The 18,338-nt window shown below is 47.7% G+C and overlaps 1 protein-coding gene and 1 long non-coding RNA gene across 3 annotated transcripts in view; one reads left to right on the forward strand and one right to left on the reverse strand.

The window, feature by feature from the left end:
* Positions 1 to 1,567, reverse strand: part of GRIP2 (glutamate receptor interacting protein 2) — a 113,911-nt gene extending 112,344 nt beyond the window's left edge. For both annotated transcript variants that reach the window (XM_047449036.1, XM_011534142.4), the window contains exon 1: positions 1,478 to 1,567. In XM_047449036.1, the coding sequence (XP_047304992.1) occupies positions 1,478 to 1,532 (55 nt within the window). In that variant the 5' untranslated portion in view covers positions 1,533 to 1,567. The remainder of the gene's footprint in view (positions 1 to 1,477) is intronic.
* Positions 696 to 6,472, forward strand: LOC105376960 (uncharacterized). The gene is made up of 3 exons (XR_940609.3): positions 696 to 807; positions 3,225 to 3,429; positions 6,354 to 6,472. It is a non-coding gene; the product is annotated as an uncharacterized LOC105376960 (long non-coding RNA).
* Positions 6,473 to 18,338: the final 11,866 nt, after the last annotated feature.

An 18,338-nucleotide genomic window follows, 5' to 3' on the forward strand; every position in this document is an offset into this window, starting at 1 on the left:
GCCTCCTCCCTCAATCTCAAGGAAGGAAACCTAGGCACCCTCTCTACCCTAAAGCTGCTCCATCCGCACCAACTCAGGTCAGGCGAGGAGTGGAGGGTCTGCTCCCTCGCTGGGCACACCTATAGGCCCACCAGGGTCTGAGGCACTGGCTAAGGCTTAATGGCTGTCTAAGCAAGACCCTCCACGGGCTCTGCCTGCAACCCCTCACAACCCAGGATCTCAGTGGGGCCGAGAAGACAGACCCTACTTGGCCCTGGGACAGGACAGGAGGGGCAGGGACCAGCTCTCTCCGTCTTCCTCCACCCTACCCCAAGTCCCACACAGGAGCTCTGGGCCTGGGCTGGAAATGGAAACTTTCCCACTAGACTGAGAGAGGCCCAACCTGGGGGGCAGACTGGAAGAAGGTGGGAGGCCTGGAAACTACTAAAAGCTTGCGGGTCACATAGATTTAGGTTCCCGGGCAGCTCTACCACCTGCTGGCTGTGTGACCTTGGGCAAGGGGCTTTACCTCTTTGAGGCTCAGTGTCCTTATCTGCAAAGCGAAAGAAAAATAGCGCCCTCCTAAGGGGGTGATTGTGAAGGTCAAAGGCAGGGGCGATGTGCACAGTCTGCGGGGCCTCGAAGTCAGCCATTATGCCCCCCAAAGTGAGCAGCGGGTGAGCAGCCACCACTGTGACCTCACCCTGCCCCCGACTCCCAGTTCTGAAAATTCTTCATTAGCACCAAATCCAAACTTTTCCTCAGCAGTGGCAGGACCCAGGCGCGGGTCCTCCTTCCTCCTCCCGCCCCCTCGCGGTCAGACAACAGGTACGCGGGGAGCAGCCCGGGCGGCCCCGCGCAGGGGTTGAGCCGCAGCGCTGCTGTGCAGGGGCAGGCCCGGGCAGGGGGCAGTGCGGCGAGTCAGCCCCCTCCCTGGCCTCCTCGCAACTTTGAGTAACCGCGGACTCCGGGGTCGGCATGGGGGTGGCGCCGGGCGTTCAAAGGAAAGTTGGGTGCGACGGACCGCAGCCTCGGGGGCCAAAGGACCCCCACCGTGAGCGCGGCCACCTCCCGACACCCGGCGGGCTGGCTGGAGGGAGCAGGTGAGGCACGTGGCCGCCTCGCCAAGCCAGGGCTCCCTCCAGGAGCCCGACCCGCCGGCCGGGCCGGTGGATGCCCCCTCGAGGGCTCAGACCCTTCGCTCCAGCCCCCGGCGGGCGCCCTGCCCCGGGTCCCACACTCCCGCGCCCCGTGGGCCCCACTGCTGGCTTTCCGGGACCAGGCTCCGCTCCGCAGCTCGCGTCCTGAGGTGATCCTCCAGGCTCCCCACTTTGGGACCCCCTCCTGCGCCTCGGGTGCCGGCGCCTGTCTTCGCCTCCCGCGGGGACCCTCCCCGGCGCCCCAGGCGTGTGCGCCCCGGGCCAGCTCAGCTCTGGGTCCGCCCTCCGCACCCCGCGCCGCGCGCGCGCTCACCGGCCGGGCAGCGGCCGCGTCTTACCTTCGTCCGGCAGCCGCTGCAGGCAGAGCGCGAGGTTCCTCCGCCAGCCCCGCATCCCCGCGGCCGCCCTGCGGCCCGGCCCGGCCTCGCCAGCCCGGCCCCGGCCCCGCCCCCGCCGGGCAGGGCGGCGCAGCGCAGCGCTGGGGAGGGCCGCGGGCCCAGGGAGCCGCGGGCATGGACGGCCGCCGAGGGTGGGGGTGCCGGGGCGGCCGCCAGGCGCTCCGCTCCGGCTCCCGAGCCCGCGGCTGAGCAGCTACGCTTTTCGAGCGCGCGCTTTCCCGGGCGCCGGGGGCGGGATGGCGGTGGGGGCGGGCGCGGAGAGGACGGCTGGAGGGGAGCCCGAAGGCGCCCCAGCCGTCTCGCACCCTCGCTGACATCCAGCGGCCTCACACACCGTCCTCAGTCTCCCCCACACACAGGGCTCTCCAACTCATACCTAAATGACTCTAATCACCACGAATTAGTGAATGAATGAATATGTGAATAAGTGAGTGAATGAATGAATCAGCGCATAAGTGAGTGAATACACAGGTATATGGATGAGTGCATAAGTGAGTGAATGGGCGAATGAATGAATGGAGGAATGTACGAGTGAGTGGATCAAGGCCTGAATAAATGTGTCAATAAGTGAATGGGAGAGTGAATGAATGAATGAATTAGTGCCTTTATCAATGAGTAAATTAATAAGTGAGTAAATGGGTGAAGGAAAATGTAAATAAGTTACTGAAAAAAATCAATCAATTGAGTGAGTGCCCCTTGGCCTCAGGCTTGTAAGAGGCAACAGTGATCTAGGACCCTCCAGAGGAGCCCTCAGCTCTGTCCTGGGAAGGAGGCCTCAGGGTTGCATCTTGTTGATGAGGCCTAAGAGGCCCAGAGAGGGCACAGCTTGTGTTTGAACACACAGCAAAGGCTGGCGTGGTGGAGATAATAATGATTCCCTCCACCAGGCTGAGGCAGCTGAGCTCATCTGATTTCAGAGGCTGTGGGGATGAACCACCTGGGGATGGAGCAGAAACGCCTATCTTCAGAAGTCAGATTTGCTTTCTCCAAGGGAATGAGTAGAGAACAGGTGTGGGGCACACACACACACACACACACACACACACACACACACAAAATCCAGCCAATGGAGTACTACACAGCCCTGAAAAGGAGGACGGCCTTCTTTGTGTCCCAATGGGGAGCCATTTCTGAGGTGCCTTGTTAAGTGAGAAAGGCAAAGTGAAGAACAGTATTTATAATGTGCAGAAAGGAAGGAAAGCTGCATTCATATTTGCTCAGATCTGTGGGGAACTATCTCTAGTGGAAACACTGGCCCTCTCTAAAAGAGGACTCATGAGGCCAGGAGCAGGTAGGAGAGGCCCACTTTTCATTGAATCCCCCTTTGTGCCTCTTGAAATTTTGAACCCTAGAAATGCATTATCTACACAAAAAATAAGTTGAAATTTTAAAATAGACAAATTTTTACAATATTTAAAGTGTTTATACCTTAGTAAAGGCTGCCTCCTCCCACCCAGTCAAGTCAGCCTATATGCCAGGATGCTGTCTCTCCCTGCTCTGGCTCAGAGAGGAAGAGGGTCTTGCTGGTCAACAGCACAGTAAAATATGACCCTGGTGGTCAGTGCAGAGCACATGATAACCCCTGTGAGGGTTGGGAGGAAAGCAAGCAGCCTCTGCTTGAACGCTGGGTTTGCCACATTTAAATTGACTGTCTCTAGGCAAATCACCTTGTCTCTTTGAACCTCAGACCCCCCATCTGCAAACTAGGGATCATCATAATGCCCTAACAGGGCTGAGTAGAGTTGACCCAGCTGCTTGTGTTCCAAAAGAGAGTTCAGCAGTGGAATCCCAGGCATCTTCATACCGTCAGTGAAGCCATCCGAACTTTGGCATGCAGAAGTTCCACTTTCGTAACGAAGGGAATTATCTCAGGTCCCCAATAATCCTTCAAGGTTGGTATAATTAGCCCCATTTCACAAATGAAGACACTTGGCCTCAGACAGTTTAAATATCTTGCCCAAGGTCACACCACCAGGAGTAGCAGAATGGGCATTTGAACCCAGATCTGCCTAGCTCCACAGCATCCCCAGACAGTGCTGCTCACAAAGTCCATCAATATGCTTGTCTCTTATTTATGTTCCTAAGACCCTCGATGGGTCACATTGCAGCCCTGTATTCATCCTGAATTATTAACCACTTTAGTAAGCAGGGTGCAGGGCCCAGAGGTTGAGTAAGGGAGGGGCAGATCAGCAGGCAGGCCTGAGTCTGAGGAGTGCTGACTCCAGAGCTTGTCTTAATGGCTGTGAGCTCTGACAAGGAAGTGAGCCTCCCCCGGCAGCAGCATTGTGAATCACTCCTGTCTGCACTAAGATTGATGGCCTCCACAGCTAGGATGCCCACTGCTCTGAGGATGACAGAGCTGGAACTGCTGATGGGAGAAGCGAAGATACCAGTGCCAGGAAAGGAGGCCCCAGCGAAGGAGACCAGTTAGGAGGGCAGGGTGCTGGCCCAGGAACTCCCCATGAGAAGAGGCGGGGGTCCTGTTAACGCTGCATAACAGGCCCCTCTAAACATAAGTGTCATAGAACAATCACTTTATTACGGTCATGAGCTCTAGGGGTTAAAATTTGGGCACAGAAGGCAGAAAGAATATGTCTCAGCTCCACATGGGCTAAGGCCTCAGCTAGGAAGACTCAAAGGGTGGAGTGGTGTGGAGTTGGGGCTGATCCAATAGCTGGGGGCTGGAATCATCTGGAGGGTCTTCACTCACTGGTGCCTGGCATCTGAGTTGGAATGACTCAAAGGCTGGACTCAGCTGGAACAGTTGTCCCAGTGCCTACCACAGTGCCTCCATGTGGCCTGGGCTTTCTCACAGCATGGTGGCCTCGGGGCAGTTAAACTTCTTACGTGGGGCTGAGCTCTAAGGGCGAGTGTTCCAGCTCTACAAGGTGAAAGCTGCATCCCCTTGGATGACCTAGCCTCAGAAATCGTGTCCCAGCGCTTCCCGCCATCCGGTATCCATCAAAGCAGTCATAAGCTGCCTGGATTCCAGGGGAGGGCGGGGGAACCCCACCTCTCATGGGAGGAGTGACAAAGAATTTGCAGCTCTTCCAGAAACCCATGAAAGGAAAGAAAGTGTTAGAGGAAGGAAGAGGAGGAAGAGTAACAGAGGATGTCCTATGAATAGAGGAAGTAGTAAGAGAAAATGCAACAGGGCTGAGGAGGAGTCAGAGAGGAAATTAGTTACCAGGAGGAGGGATAGAAGAAGTAGTAGTAGGAAGAGGAACGATACTGGGAAAGGTACTATTCAGAATAGTGATAAGAAAAAGAATGGTGACGTGAATAGGAAGAACTGCAGTAGGGGAGGAATGAAGGAGGAGACAAAGCCATCAGGTAGGGAGAGTAAAGGGAGAAGGTGCAAACAGAAGCCCAGTGTTTGAGGGGATCATATAATAAGAATAGTAGCTAGAATGGCAGCAAGAGCAGTGGACAAAGGGAAAAGGTAGAGGTGATGGGGCCATAACAGGAAGATGTAATCAGAGGAATAGAAATAGGGGAGAAGCTGAGGGGAGAGCATCAGGAAAAAGAGCTAATCCATGCTGGGCTTAATACCTAGGTGACGGGTTGATAGGTGCAGCAAACCAGCATAGCACACATTTACCTATGTAACAAACCTGCACATCCTGCACATGTACCTGGAACTTAAAAAAGAAAAAAAAGAAATAGGAGGAGAAATCACAGGAAACTGGCTATCTGGTCTGAAATCCCCTCCAAACTGTGTGGCCTCTGGTGAGTTCCTGAACTATTCCTCAGTTTTGTTATCTGTGAAATAGGGATGGTGATACTAAAAATACCTCCCTGATAAGGTTGTTGTGCAGATTAAATGAGTCAATACATGTAAAGCTCTTGGTGCCTGACTCACAGGAGGTGCTATGTAAGTGTTTGCCACTATGATTAGTTGTATTAATATCGTGGAAATGGGAGGGGCACCTGAGGAACCACGGCTGCAGGGAAAGCAGTGCCAGCTGATCTGAAGGCCTCCTTGGTTGCTGTTGTCTTGGTGGTGCCCAGGGTGTGTTCCCCACTGCACCCTACGGCCTCTGAGTGAATCTCAGCATGACCTTGTGCGGGAGGCTGGGTGAGGACTGTAAGAGCTGTCGCAGGCAGGAACCAAGCTCAGCCAAGCTTATTCACCAAGAGGTGGCAGGAGCTCAGCCCCAGCCTGGCCTCCAGGCCCCCAGCCAGCGCTCCCTGGGGAGAGGAGGGAGAGGGCTGGTGCACTTCCCAGGAACCTGCCGGCCTTTGGAGGGGGCCAGGCACAACTTGGTCTGGTGAGGGAGGAGATGCTGAGCCAAACCACTGGGGTGCAGGAAGGAACTATTACTACTTATCTTTCTTTTTATTATCTAAAATTATAAAGAAAGGAAGCTTTACTGGTATTTAGTATATGGATTGACAATGGTACATATGTTCAGTTTACAAGTGCGTACACATTTTGGGGGCATATGTTCCCAAATAGTTTTATCAATAGGAGTGAGAGATCACAAAAGTTCTGAGGTCCCTGTGCAAGGGTAATCGCCCTGGTGCCAGTGGGCTCTCTGGGGGACATTTGCATGCAATTATGCACTGACAATCACTCTGCAATTACTGCAGGACCCAGCAGAGCTCCAGAAAAGCCTTTACATTCTGGTTTAAGCTCATGTACAAGGCCTCACACCTCGCTTCTCTTTTCAAGCTGTAAGTCCGGGACTGGCCTCCCCATTACCCTGAGCTTTCACTTTGCCCCTTCCCTGATGATTGCTATCAGGCAACCCATATTGTATATTTTTATATGTCCTTCCTCTTCCAAAAAAGATAATCCACATATTTTCAATAGGTCTACCTGGAGAAAATGTTGAGCATTAGAAAGAGCAAAAGCTTCGGAGTCGCCCAGCTGCAGATCCAAATCCCAGCTCCCAGCTCCACTGTTCCATTCATTCGCTCGCTGGGTATTTGTTGAACATCTGCTACATAGGAGGCACTGTACTTTGTGTTGAGTACATCATTGATTTGGATGAAAATCCTTGCTGTCACAGAGCTCACATCCTAATGGAACATTTTATTTGCTACTTGACCTCAGGCAAGTCATTGCACCTCTCCAAGCCTCAGTTTATCCATCTTTAAAGTGGGACTTGTAACCCCCAACCTTGCAATGTGGCTGAGATACAAGCAGGTAAGGGGCCTGAGACATTCGATGAAAGGCATCCCAGGCACCTAGAGCTGGAAGGAACCTCGTTCCAAGATGATTCTGCAGCTGTTGCCAAATGCAGATGAGACAGGGGCTGCAACATGGTTCATCCAAGGCCACTCAGTGAGGTGGGGCAGAGCAAGAATGGCGGCCCAGGTGCCCTCTCCTGTCCTGCTTCCCTTGAGTCTGATGCTCTCTGTGTGGTCCAGTCAGGGCTGAGAAGTGAAAGGAAATAGAGGCTGCCCTTCACCTCCCCTCCAGCTCCTGAAGCTGGAAGCTGCCTCTTCTCCTCTCACATCACCACCAGGCAATCATGGGGAAAGCATAGCCTGACTACCTTTTGGAAACAGCAGCCTCTAGTGTCTGGGCCAGAACAAGGGCTCAGGAGGAGCCCCAGGCAGCCCAGCTTTTGAGTCGGATGGAAATTACTATTCTCTAAATATCAGTTCAGCCACAGTTATTCAGGGAAGAGGCCCAGCACAGATTGGGGAGGGTGAGGAGGATGCGGGGAACAGAATTAGCTTCTCTGTTGTCAGCCCCTGCAGTTTAGCTCTGACAGCAAACCTGCACATTTTACTCAGCAAAACCAAGGCCCGATCCCTGCCTCGCCCTCTTGTTGGCAGTCCATGCAGTGGACCTGCTCTCAAAGATCTCACCCTTCCTCAGGCTGCAGGGCCTCACCCAACCACGATTCCTTTTAACCCACAGAAGACTTTATGCCGAGGAGTCCTGGAATATCTCCTTTTCTCCATCTTGGGACATCTGTGGGGCGGTTTTTCCCCCTCTAGATGGGGGCATCAAAAACTGCCTTGCTTTCCTGACCTTAACCCATCTCAGTGCCCATGGGGTTGCGCTAAACATCTCCAGAGAAATGTCTTTAAATAAACAGATTTCATACTTGAGAGGAGACCAGAAATGTCTAAAACCATCTCTGTTTACTCTCTCACATTTGTGAGGTTTGTTTGTTTGTTTGTTTATTTGTTTGTTTTAAAGCCAATCATGGTCTTTTCTTCAAAAACCATGAAAGAAGAAAGGATGCTAACAGCTCCATTTCACAGATGGCAAAACTGAGGCTGAACATGGGAAAGTGACTTGTTGGAGGCTCTGTGGTTAAGAAAGATGTGTATCTCTCTCTCTCTTTTTTTTTCTCAGACAGAGTTTCACTCTTGTCACCCAGGCTGGAGTGCAGTGGCGTGCTCTCAGCTCACTGCAACCTCCGCCTCCCGGGTTCAAGTGATTCTCCTCCCTCAGCCTCCCAAGTAGCTGGGATTACAGGCATGCAACACCATGCCTGGCTAATTTTTTGCATTTTTAGTAGAGACAGGGTTTCACCTCATTGGCCAGGCTGGTCTCGAACTCCTGACCTCAGGTGATCCACCAGGAGCCAGAGAGAGTGGCTGCCGGGCTTGGCTCTGATACTTTCTAGTTGTCCGGCTTTGAGCGAGTTTCCTGACTTCTTTATGCCTTGGTGGTCTCATATATAAGATAGGAACCTACCTCCCTAGCTCTGGGACTGGCCATGAGGATGAAATGAGCCAATGTGAGCAAACTGCTTGGCACAAAGCCTGACACACAGTAAGTGTTGCCTAAATGTCCACTTTTAAAAATTATTTTTATGACTTACATCACATAACCAAGCTTGTTTTGTTTCTTCCTTTGTTTTACCTCTATTGTCTCACATGGATTTTTATAGACTTTATCTAGAAAGAGTTTGGTGTTTTAAAATCTAAGTTTTCAGCTTAGTAATTTTTTTTAATTAAGGTATAATTTACATAAAGTAAAATTCACCCTCTTTAGTGCACAGTTCTGTGAGTTCTGACAAATGTATACATTGGTGTAGTCACCACACCATCTACATATAGAACTGTTTGACTGCTCCTAAAATTCTCCCAAGCCCCTTTGTAGTCAACATCTCCTCTCACCCCCAGCTCCTGGCAACTCCTAATCTGTTTACTGGTTCCACAGTCATATCTTTCCCAGAATGGAATCATACAGTATGGAGCCTTTTCAGTCTGGCTTATTTTACTTAGCATAATGCATTTGTGATTCATCCATGTTGTTGTAGATGAAAGTAGTTTATTCCTTCTGCTGTGGTTTGAATATTTGTCCCTTCCAAAACTCATGTTGAAATTAATCCCCAATGTGACAGTATTGAGAGATGGGGTCCTTAAGAGGTGATTGGGTCATGAGGGCTCTGTCCTCACAAGTGGATTAATCCATCCATGGATTAATGAGTTAATGGCTTAGTGGGTTATCATAGGGGTGTGACTGGGAGCTTTATAGGAAGAGGAAGAGAGACCTGAGCCAGCACATTCGGCCCCTTGCCATGTGATGCCTTGCACCACCTTGGGACTCTGCAAAGAGTCCCTACCAGCAAGAAGGCCCTCACCAGATGCAGCCCCTCAACCTTGGGCTTCACAGCCTCCAGAACTGGAAGAAATAAATTTCTTTTCTTTATAAATTACCTAGTTTCAGGTATTTGGTTATAAGCAACAGAAAACGGACTAATATACCTTCTAATTGCGAAGTTATATTCCATCATATGGATGTACCATAGTTTGTTTGTCCATTCACCAACTGAATGACAGTTTCGGTTATTTCCAGTTTTTAGTGATTAGGAAGCAGAGAGAAAGAAAGAACTGGGTCCTCAAGGATATCACTGAACAATTGAATTAAAACCCAGAAAACTCCCCATCTCAGCTGTTATAAACATTCATGTACAGTTTTTTGTGTGGCTGTGGCAGGGCAGGTGAGCCTCAAATTGGGGCTTAGTCCAGGAAACTTCTTGGCTTCATTCAGGAAATAATTCAAGAGCAAGCTGGTGGTAGAAGAAAACAGCTTTATTGAGGCAGCATTTTTAAAGCTCGTGAGAGTAGCAGCTCAGGGGCAATTCTGCCCACTTTTTATTACATGCAAATTAACAAGCAGATTATTCAGAATTTTCTTAGAAAAGGGGTGGTAACTTCTGGGTTGCTGTCATGGAAAGGGGCAGTAACTTCTGGGTATAGCCATGTTAATGGTAAACTGATATGGCACTGGGTATGTCTTTTGGAGAGGTGATTTTTCACCTTTTCCCTGTTTTAGCCAATCTTCAATCTGGTCTGGAGTAAAGTCCTGCCTCCTGCCTCATGACCATAAGATTTCATTTCTCTTGTAGAGATAACTCAGAGTGGAATTCATAGATCATATGATAAATGAAGTTTAGCTTTATAAGAAACTGCCAAGCTATCTTCCAAAGTAGCTGTACCACTTTGCATTCCCAGGAGCAATGTATGAGAGTTCCAGTGGTTGGCACCTGGAATCTCAGCACTTTGAGAGGCTGAGGCAGGAGGAACACTTGAGCCCAGGAGTTTGAGACCAGCCTGGGCAACATAGTGAGACCCCATCTCTATGACAAACAAACAAAATTGTATGAGAGTTCTAGTTGTTCCACATCCTTACCAATACTTGGTATTTTTAGGGCTTTTTCTTTTTTAAAAAAGCTACTTGAGGCCAGGTGCGGTGGCTCACACCTGTAATCCCAGCACTTTGGGAGGCCAAGGCGGATGGATCATGAGATCGGGAGATCGAGACCATCCTGGCCAACATGGTGAAACTCCGTCTCTACTAAAAATACAAAAATTAGCCGGGCATGGTGGCAAGCACCTGTACTCCCAGCTACTCGGGAGGCTGAGGCAGGAGAATTGCTTGAACTCGGGAGGCGGAGGTTGCAGTGAGCCGAGATCGTGCCACTACACTCCAGTACAGCCTGGTGACAGAGTGAGACTCTATCTAACAAAAAAAAAAAAAAAAAAAGCTACTTGAATAGGTGTGTAGGTGTAGTAGCATCTCATTGTAGTTTAAATTTGCATTTCTCCAAGCTTGTTTTTTGTTTATTTCCTTCACATCTCAGTAGTGTTTTCTCTATTCCTCCTTTTTCCTTACTGGCAGGGTGTGGCTTATTCAGGTGCTTATCCCATATCTGAGTGATGCAGGAATAGGTGATCTTTTCTCAGTCTCCAAGGATCAAATTAGATTGATCCATATCAGTTATGGGAACCCCATAATGGTTCATGATTGGTTGGAGTGGGCTTAGGGCTCAAGTCTGTCCAACAAGACTTGAGGGGATGTCAATTTGGGGACTTCAGGGAAAGGTTTCCTTATCCCGCATGACCACGTGCTAAGATGTGATGCCTGGAACTGTGGCATTCACCTTGTCAAAATGAGTAAGAGACTGTGAGAGTGAAGTAGACATTTCTAGAGATTGCAAGGTAGAGAGAAGGAAAGAATTGGGTTCTCAAGGGTATCACAGAACAACTGAATCAAAACTACCCATCTCAGACTTTCTTTACTGTTTAACATTATTGTTTAAACCAGTTTCAGTCAGTTTTTTTTTGTTATTTGTAGTCTAAAACATCTTGACCATGTAACTCAGGGGGAAAAGTGGCATACTTGTTCTATGGAGCCCAAGAAGACAAAATTAAAACCCACAATGGTGGCAGTATATTGTGATTAACAGAACAAGTATTCAGTTCCTTGTACAACTGACTTCACCTCTCAAAGTCCCAGCTGGCTTATCTGTAAAACGAGTAAAATAATAATACCTACCTTAGATGACTGTTGGGAGGATTCGAGACTCTACACAGTTTGGCTGGCACTTCATAAGCTCTCAAAATGTTATCTATAATCATTATTATAAAGTATTATTTGGAGGCCGAGGCAGGTGGATCACTTGAGGTCAGGAGTCCGAGACCACCCTGGCCAACATGGTGAAACCCCATCTCTACTAAAAATACAAAAATTAGCTGGGAGTGGTGGCACGCACCTGTTCTCAGCTACTCAGGAGGCTGAGGCAGGAGAATCACTTGAATCTGGGAGACAGAGGTTGCAGTGAGCTGAGATTGCGCCTGGGTGACAGAGTGAGATTCTGTCTCAAAATAATAAATACATAAATTAAATAAAATAAAAAAGTATTATTTATGCGACTTTGATAATGTCCCCATCAGTCCCTAGTGTAGTTTTAGGATTTGTGGTTCATATCGGCTTTGAAAGCTCTTCATTTTAGATACAGCCAAAGGGATATGCTTCTGGCTGTGATAAAGTATTTGGTACCCACCAGCCTGCTACCAACTACTTTATCATAGCCAGATGTAGTGTACATATATACACACCATTGTATGCGTGTGTGTGTGTGTGTGTGTGTGTGTGTGTGTGTGTGTGTGTGTATCAGGGGCCTGCAAAGGCATTCAGGACTTGAGGGATCAAGATTCCAGATACAGAGAAGTTCATTGAGATGAATTTCTCTTGGGGCATTTGCCAATTCTTGGCACAGGGTGAAAGACTGAGAAGCCAAACAAGCTCTAGGTAGTTTCATGGGGCTGAAGAGATCAAATATGAAGTTTGGGATGACCAAGCCATCAGGACAAGGATCCTGGAGAGAAGGGAGACACAGAGAAGTAAGCCTGACCCTCAGTACCAGTTTTTCCTTCTAGGCATTTACCATTTCTTAAGCTCTGTACAAGAGAAGACTGAGAAGTTAAGGGGAAAGCAATGGAAAAGCAGAGTGGGGTATTTTCAGTCTCACAGCACTTACGAGAAAAAATTGGAGTTCAGAGCCCAGCAGGAAGGACAGGCCCTAGTAAATAGCCCAGGCTTTCAGTTGAGACCACTGGATGGTTATAACCGGATGGGTGAACCAGAGGTAGAACAAGACTTACAAAAGTTGCAACCCAGACTTGAATCAGCTCAGTCTGTGATAGATTTAGGTGATATGTTCTCACTTTATCTACTGTCACAGGAAACAGCAATCTTCTCTAGGGGAAGGTCACATCATGAAGATCCTCTTCAATTTTTCGTGCACAATATCTGGCATGAAATTTTTTAAAAATCTTTTTTTCCAGACACACCAATAAACAGAAACAAAATGAAAAAAAATAGGCAGTAGAAATAGGCTCAAAGGTGATCCAGATATTAGTATTATCAGGCATGGACTTTAAATAACTGTGAATGGTATGTTCAAGAAAATGAGACAAAATAGGGAATTTCTTCAGAGAACTAGGATCTTTAAGAAATAATCAGTTGGATATTAAAGAACTGAAAGATACAATAATTGAAACCAATAACTCACTAGATGGGTTTAGAGACAATTGGACACACCTAAAGAGGACTAGTGGATTGAAAGATGAGTCAGTATGCAGAAAAATATCTCCAGAATGAAAAGCAAAAATAAAGCTGGGCACAGTGGCTCACACCTGGTAATCTTACCACTTTGGGAGCCTGAGGCAAGAGGATGGCTTGAGCCCAGGAATTCAAGGCTGCAGTGAGCTATGATCACGCTGCTGCACTCCAGCCTGGGTGACAGAGCAAGATCCTGTCTCTTAAAAAAAAAAAAAAAAAAAGCAAAAATAACAGAAAATAAAGGAAAGAGATACATGATACACAGTGAAAAGGTCTAACGTACACATAACTGGAGGCCCAATGGGGAGAACAAATAAAATGCACTATCAATATTTCTGATAAATAATCAATAATTTTCCAAAGTTGATAAAAACACATCAAATCACAGTTCCAATAAGCACTACAAGCCCTAAGCAGGATAAATACAAGACAAACCACACCTAAGCATATACGAGTAAAGGTGCTAAAATTCAAAGGCAAAAAAATAGAGCAATCAGAGGAAAAAAGACACATCATCTTTGAAGGATCAATAATAACACAGACAACTAACTTCTTAATAGAAACACTAGAAGTAGAAGACAGTAGAACAACCTCAAATACTGAAAGGAAACAACTACCAACCTCAAATTCTGTACTCAGAGAAAATATTCTTTATAAATGAAGACAAAATAAAGACACAGACAATTAAAAGAATTTTTACCAACTGACTCACACTGAAAGAAATACTATAGGGAGTTCTCCAAGTGGAAGGTAAAATAGTCCCAGATAGAAATATGAACATGCAGAAAGGAATGAAGGGTAAATTTGGAATAAATTGAAATAAACTTGACTGTACAAAAACAGCTATAATAATGTCTTCTGTGGTTTAAAATATATGTAGAATTAAAATGCATGAGAACAATGGGAGAAGTGTAAATGGAGTTAAAATAGTCTGAGATCTTAGCATTGTCTCTAATGTGACAAAAGTACAAATTTGCATTGGACTTTAACGAGTCAAAGATGCATGTTATAATATTGAGGTTTAACCACTAAGTAAATTGTCAAATAATGTATAACTAACAAACAAACATGGGGGGAAATGAAATACAGCCACCCAGGAATCTGGCGGTGGGGGGATTAGTGCCAAGATCTCCCCAAAGATAACCAAAATCTGCAGATGCTCAAGTCTCTGATATGAAATAGCCACAGTATTTGCATATAACCTGTGCGCATCCTCCCATATATATTAAATCACTTTCAGATTACATATAATACCTAACAGAATGTGACTGCAATGCAAATAGTTATTATACTGTATTGTTCAGGGAATAATGACAAGAAAAAAAGTCTGTGCATGTTCAGTATAGAGGCAATTTTTAAAAATACTTTTGATCCACAGTTGGTTGAATCCACGATGCAGAACCCACGGATATGAAAAGTCAACTGTAATAAAAATTGCTTCTTGATTAATCCAAGATAAGGAAAGAAAAAAGAGGAAACAAAACAGGTGGGACAGATAGAAAACAAATAGTAAGATGGTGAATATACAATAGAATCAATTTGATAAACATTTTTAGAGCACTTATTAAGCACAGGGGACTGTGTTCCATGCGAGATACACCGATAATTAAGGCACAGTCCCTTCCACTGTATGATTTAGTAAAGACTTAAAGGAGAGAGAAAAATCTGGTAGCATCCTGTTGAAATTCAAGTAAGGCTTCATGCTGAAGGTGGTATTTAAGCTGAGCCTTTAGTGATGGGCAAGATTTTCACAGGAGGTAGAGTCGGCCTGCTAGGAGGATATGTGAAACACGGGCCAGAGGGCAGGGGCAGGAAGGGGCCCTGGGGAACCAGAGGGAGATCAGTTTGGATAGAGCAGGATATTTGCACACACAGAACATGGGAGAAAGAGTAATGAAGACCTATTGAGCCTGATAAGGAGTATACCTTATCTGCCAGCCAAAGGAGTAGGGACCACATCTCCAAATCATGAAAATAGAAGGAGCAGTGGAGTTCATCTACTCAACCCTCCCATTTTACAGATGAGTAAACTGAAATTTGTAAGCAAAAAGAAAATTGTTTAATATTAGCATAATATAGACTGATCTGGGCTTTAGAGACCTCACCCTATGGCCTTTGGGAAGATGGATGGGAGGGAGCAAGGCTAGTGGCAGGAAGACCAGTGCGGGGGCTGGTGTGATGATCCCTGTGATGACAAGGAGGCCTGTACTGGAGCAGTGACCATGGAGACAGCTGAAGAGGAGGCACATGTGGGTGACATTGTATGATGTGGCCATGTTCAAGTGAAAACACTGGCTGAAAACCTGTGGTAGCTATCAATTAAAGAAGGAAAAACTTCAAAAATTTGGAAAGGAGAGCTTTATTTCTCATAAAGGGTTGCAGCCTGCAGGTGGCCATTCTGACAGGCTGGGAAGCATAGCTTCTGGCCAGAAGCCGGAAACAGGCACTTTGAGATCAGAAGAATAAGACAGGGATTTATGCTGAATAGGGTGGCTGAATATGCATACTCAATAAGCCATGGGAGGAGCCATGAATAATTACAAAGAAGAAACACACATGCACAGTTGAGCCCCTTCATGGGTCATAGGTACAAAAAAAGGGTGGTATTAGCACGATCCCAGAGTGCGGTTTTCGGCCTTCTGATGTCAAAAGGTGAAGCAGAGGACACAAAAACCCTCCCTGAGCAGCATCCATATTCTGGCCAGAACCACTCTGTGGTCGGTGGTCTCTTATCAGGAAAGGATGCTGGCCGGTTATGTGTTGAAACTGCAAAAGTGGAGGGCAGCTTTAGGCAGCTGGCTGCAATCAGTGGTGCGGCGAGTCTTTTGAAAGGACTGGTTTCTGTGCAGCCCTTAGGGAAGAAAGCCTCACAGCGGTTAGCCAGGGAGGGAGTAGAATGAGGTGGGTCTGACCTCCCATCACATTGCAGTCAGGAACTCATTTTTTTTGGAGTCCCCTTAACCAAGAGGGGGTCCATTCAGTTGGTTGGGAGCTTAGGATTTTATTTTCACTTTCCACAGCCATAGACCCTTCCACCCAGCATGGTCATGAAGAGGCTGAGGCCCAGGAAGTGTGACTCAAAACTCAGGAGATGGCATCACGAACCTTTAGGGGAAAGGAGCTAGCATTTATCAAAGCCCTGTTTGTTGCCAGGCTCAGCACCATGGCTAAGTGTTATCTCATTTAATGCTCACAATGACCCTCAGAGGAAGGACTTATGATTTTTTCCTTTAGAGGTGGGGAAATTGAGTCTCAGGTGGGATGACCTTCACAAGGTCACACAGTGTGTATGGCAAAGGTGGAATGCCTCGCATTCTTTCCACAGCATCAGTCAGGACTTGAGGGTCAAAAGTGACTTAACCTCAGGTGTGTGAGTCATAGTAATGTTATCTGCTGGGTCAAACAGATTCCCACATGTATAATAGCTCAAATACAATAGATGTTTATTTCTCACTCATATAAAGTCCAAAGTCAACCCCCCATGCAGGGATTCAGGGCTCCAGCTCCCCCAATCTTGTGACCCACTGTTTCAACGCAATCACACACATGAAGCTGATGAAAGGGGAAACAGGAGACAGGATGGGATTTGGGAGGGTTTCCGGGTCCAAGCCTCGAAGTGCCTTACATCACGTGAAAGACATATATTTAAAATGCATTGTCTTAGATTAGGTTCCCTGGAGGCAAAGCCTTAGACAGATACTCGTACTCAAGTGTTTATTGAGGGAGAGCTCTTGGGAGAAACCGGTAAGGGAGGAGAAAAGGAAAAGTCCAGCCTCACCCGACCCCATGGGAGCTCTGGAACAAGAACCATACCAGAGAGGTTTTTCCACCATCCCACAGGAAAAGCACAACTTCCCAGACATCCTCCTGGGAGGCTCCCGTCAGCTAAGGGCCACTTGCAGGATAAAGGTGCTGCTGTGAGATGTTCACAGCCAACACTCCCAACAGTGGGGAGATGGGTACAGGATCTGGCATAGGATCTGGGTGGGACACCAACGGTATCCACTACAACAGGAGAGAAAGGGCAGGTTCCATAGAGGAGAGGGCATGACTGGGTTTGTGAGAGGTAGGGGGAAGGGCTTCCAAGATGGGGACATTAAAAGTTGATTTGGCACCTACTATGTGCCAAGCACTTTCCTCAGACCTGAGGTGGTTTTCTCCCCGGGGCAGCCTGGTCACACTGTATGCTAATGAGCAGACTGTCAGTCATCTGATCATTAACAAATGATCCTGGGTCCACTTCAGTCTTCAACAGTGCCCTATTATCCAGCTCCATGCTGTGTGCCAGGCTGCAGGTGCCAGGAGGTCTTAGAGGAAGTCCCTGCTTCCAAGGTGCAGGGGGCCAGCAATGGGCAGGAAGAGGCAGGTAGATGGGCCAACTTGAGACAGGACTAGCAGGAAAAGTCTCCAAGGATATTCCCAACACCTGTCACTGGGCTGGTGCAGAAGGGCTGCTAAGTGTTTGCCGGATGAAGGAGAAGAATGTCCTCCCTAAAGCTCTTCAGGTCCCCAAAGGCCTAGCCTGGTTCCCAGCATACAGTAAGATGCTCATGAAAAATGTGTGGAATAGATGTCCCTGGGGTTTGACTGGGGCTCAGAAATGACTGTACTTCCTAGTCACTCTAGAAGGTGGCGCTGGGGACTGTGTCTCTATGGACTCCCGAGCTGCCATCCTGTACGTGGGTCCCCATCCCCCTGGACAGGCCAGACCCACGCTGTTTTTTCCCCTCTCCCCCACTCCTCCTGGTGTCTTTGCAGGAACAGGATATTAAGCACCTTGAGTGCTGGAATGAGAAACATGTACTTTAGTTCTTCATCCACAATGACCAGCTTCTATGTGACATGATAGGGCATAAGGGTGAACAAGATGCACAAAATCTTACCCCCATGGGGCTTACATTCTAGTGGGAAGCAGGGAAGAAAATAGGGGAAAAGTTTAAAACTATCTGGGATAGCTGATCCCAGACCACATGAACAAATGGGTGGTAAGGAGAAAACAACAAGGGGATGTGACAGAGACGAAGTAGAATTGACTTCAGGAAGGATCATCAGAGAAGGCTTCACTGAGGAGGTGGCATTTCAGCAGATTTAACTGGAGTGGGGATGCGATCATGGGAGGGGTAAGAAGAGAGTGTCTGGGCCCAGTGAATGTTCAAGTACAGGGGCCCTAAGAGGGGAGCCACCTTAGCTCATTACTAAGTGAGGACCCCGTGGCTGGAAGACTCAGCAGGAATTAGACAGTGGTCAGAAGAGAAGTTGGGAAAAATGGCAGGGCCCGATCCCAAGGGCCTTCTAGGTCCCAGTTAGAAGTTTGAATTTCATTCCAAGGGCAACAGAAAGCCATGGAAGGATTTTAAGCAGGATTTTAATCTGCCATAGTCAGATTTACATTTCTAGAAGTTGCCTTGGATTCTGGGTGGGGAATGGCCTGTAAGTGGGGGATGAAAGTGGGGTGGAAGTCAGAGGTTGGGTGAGGTC

Source organism: Homo sapiens, chromosome 3 (assembly GCF_000001405.40).
Source record: "Homo sapiens chromosome 3, GRCh38.p14 Primary Assembly".
In the NCBI taxonomy this organism is placed as follows: Eukaryota; Metazoa; Chordata; class Mammalia; order Primates; family Hominidae; genus Homo; species Homo sapiens.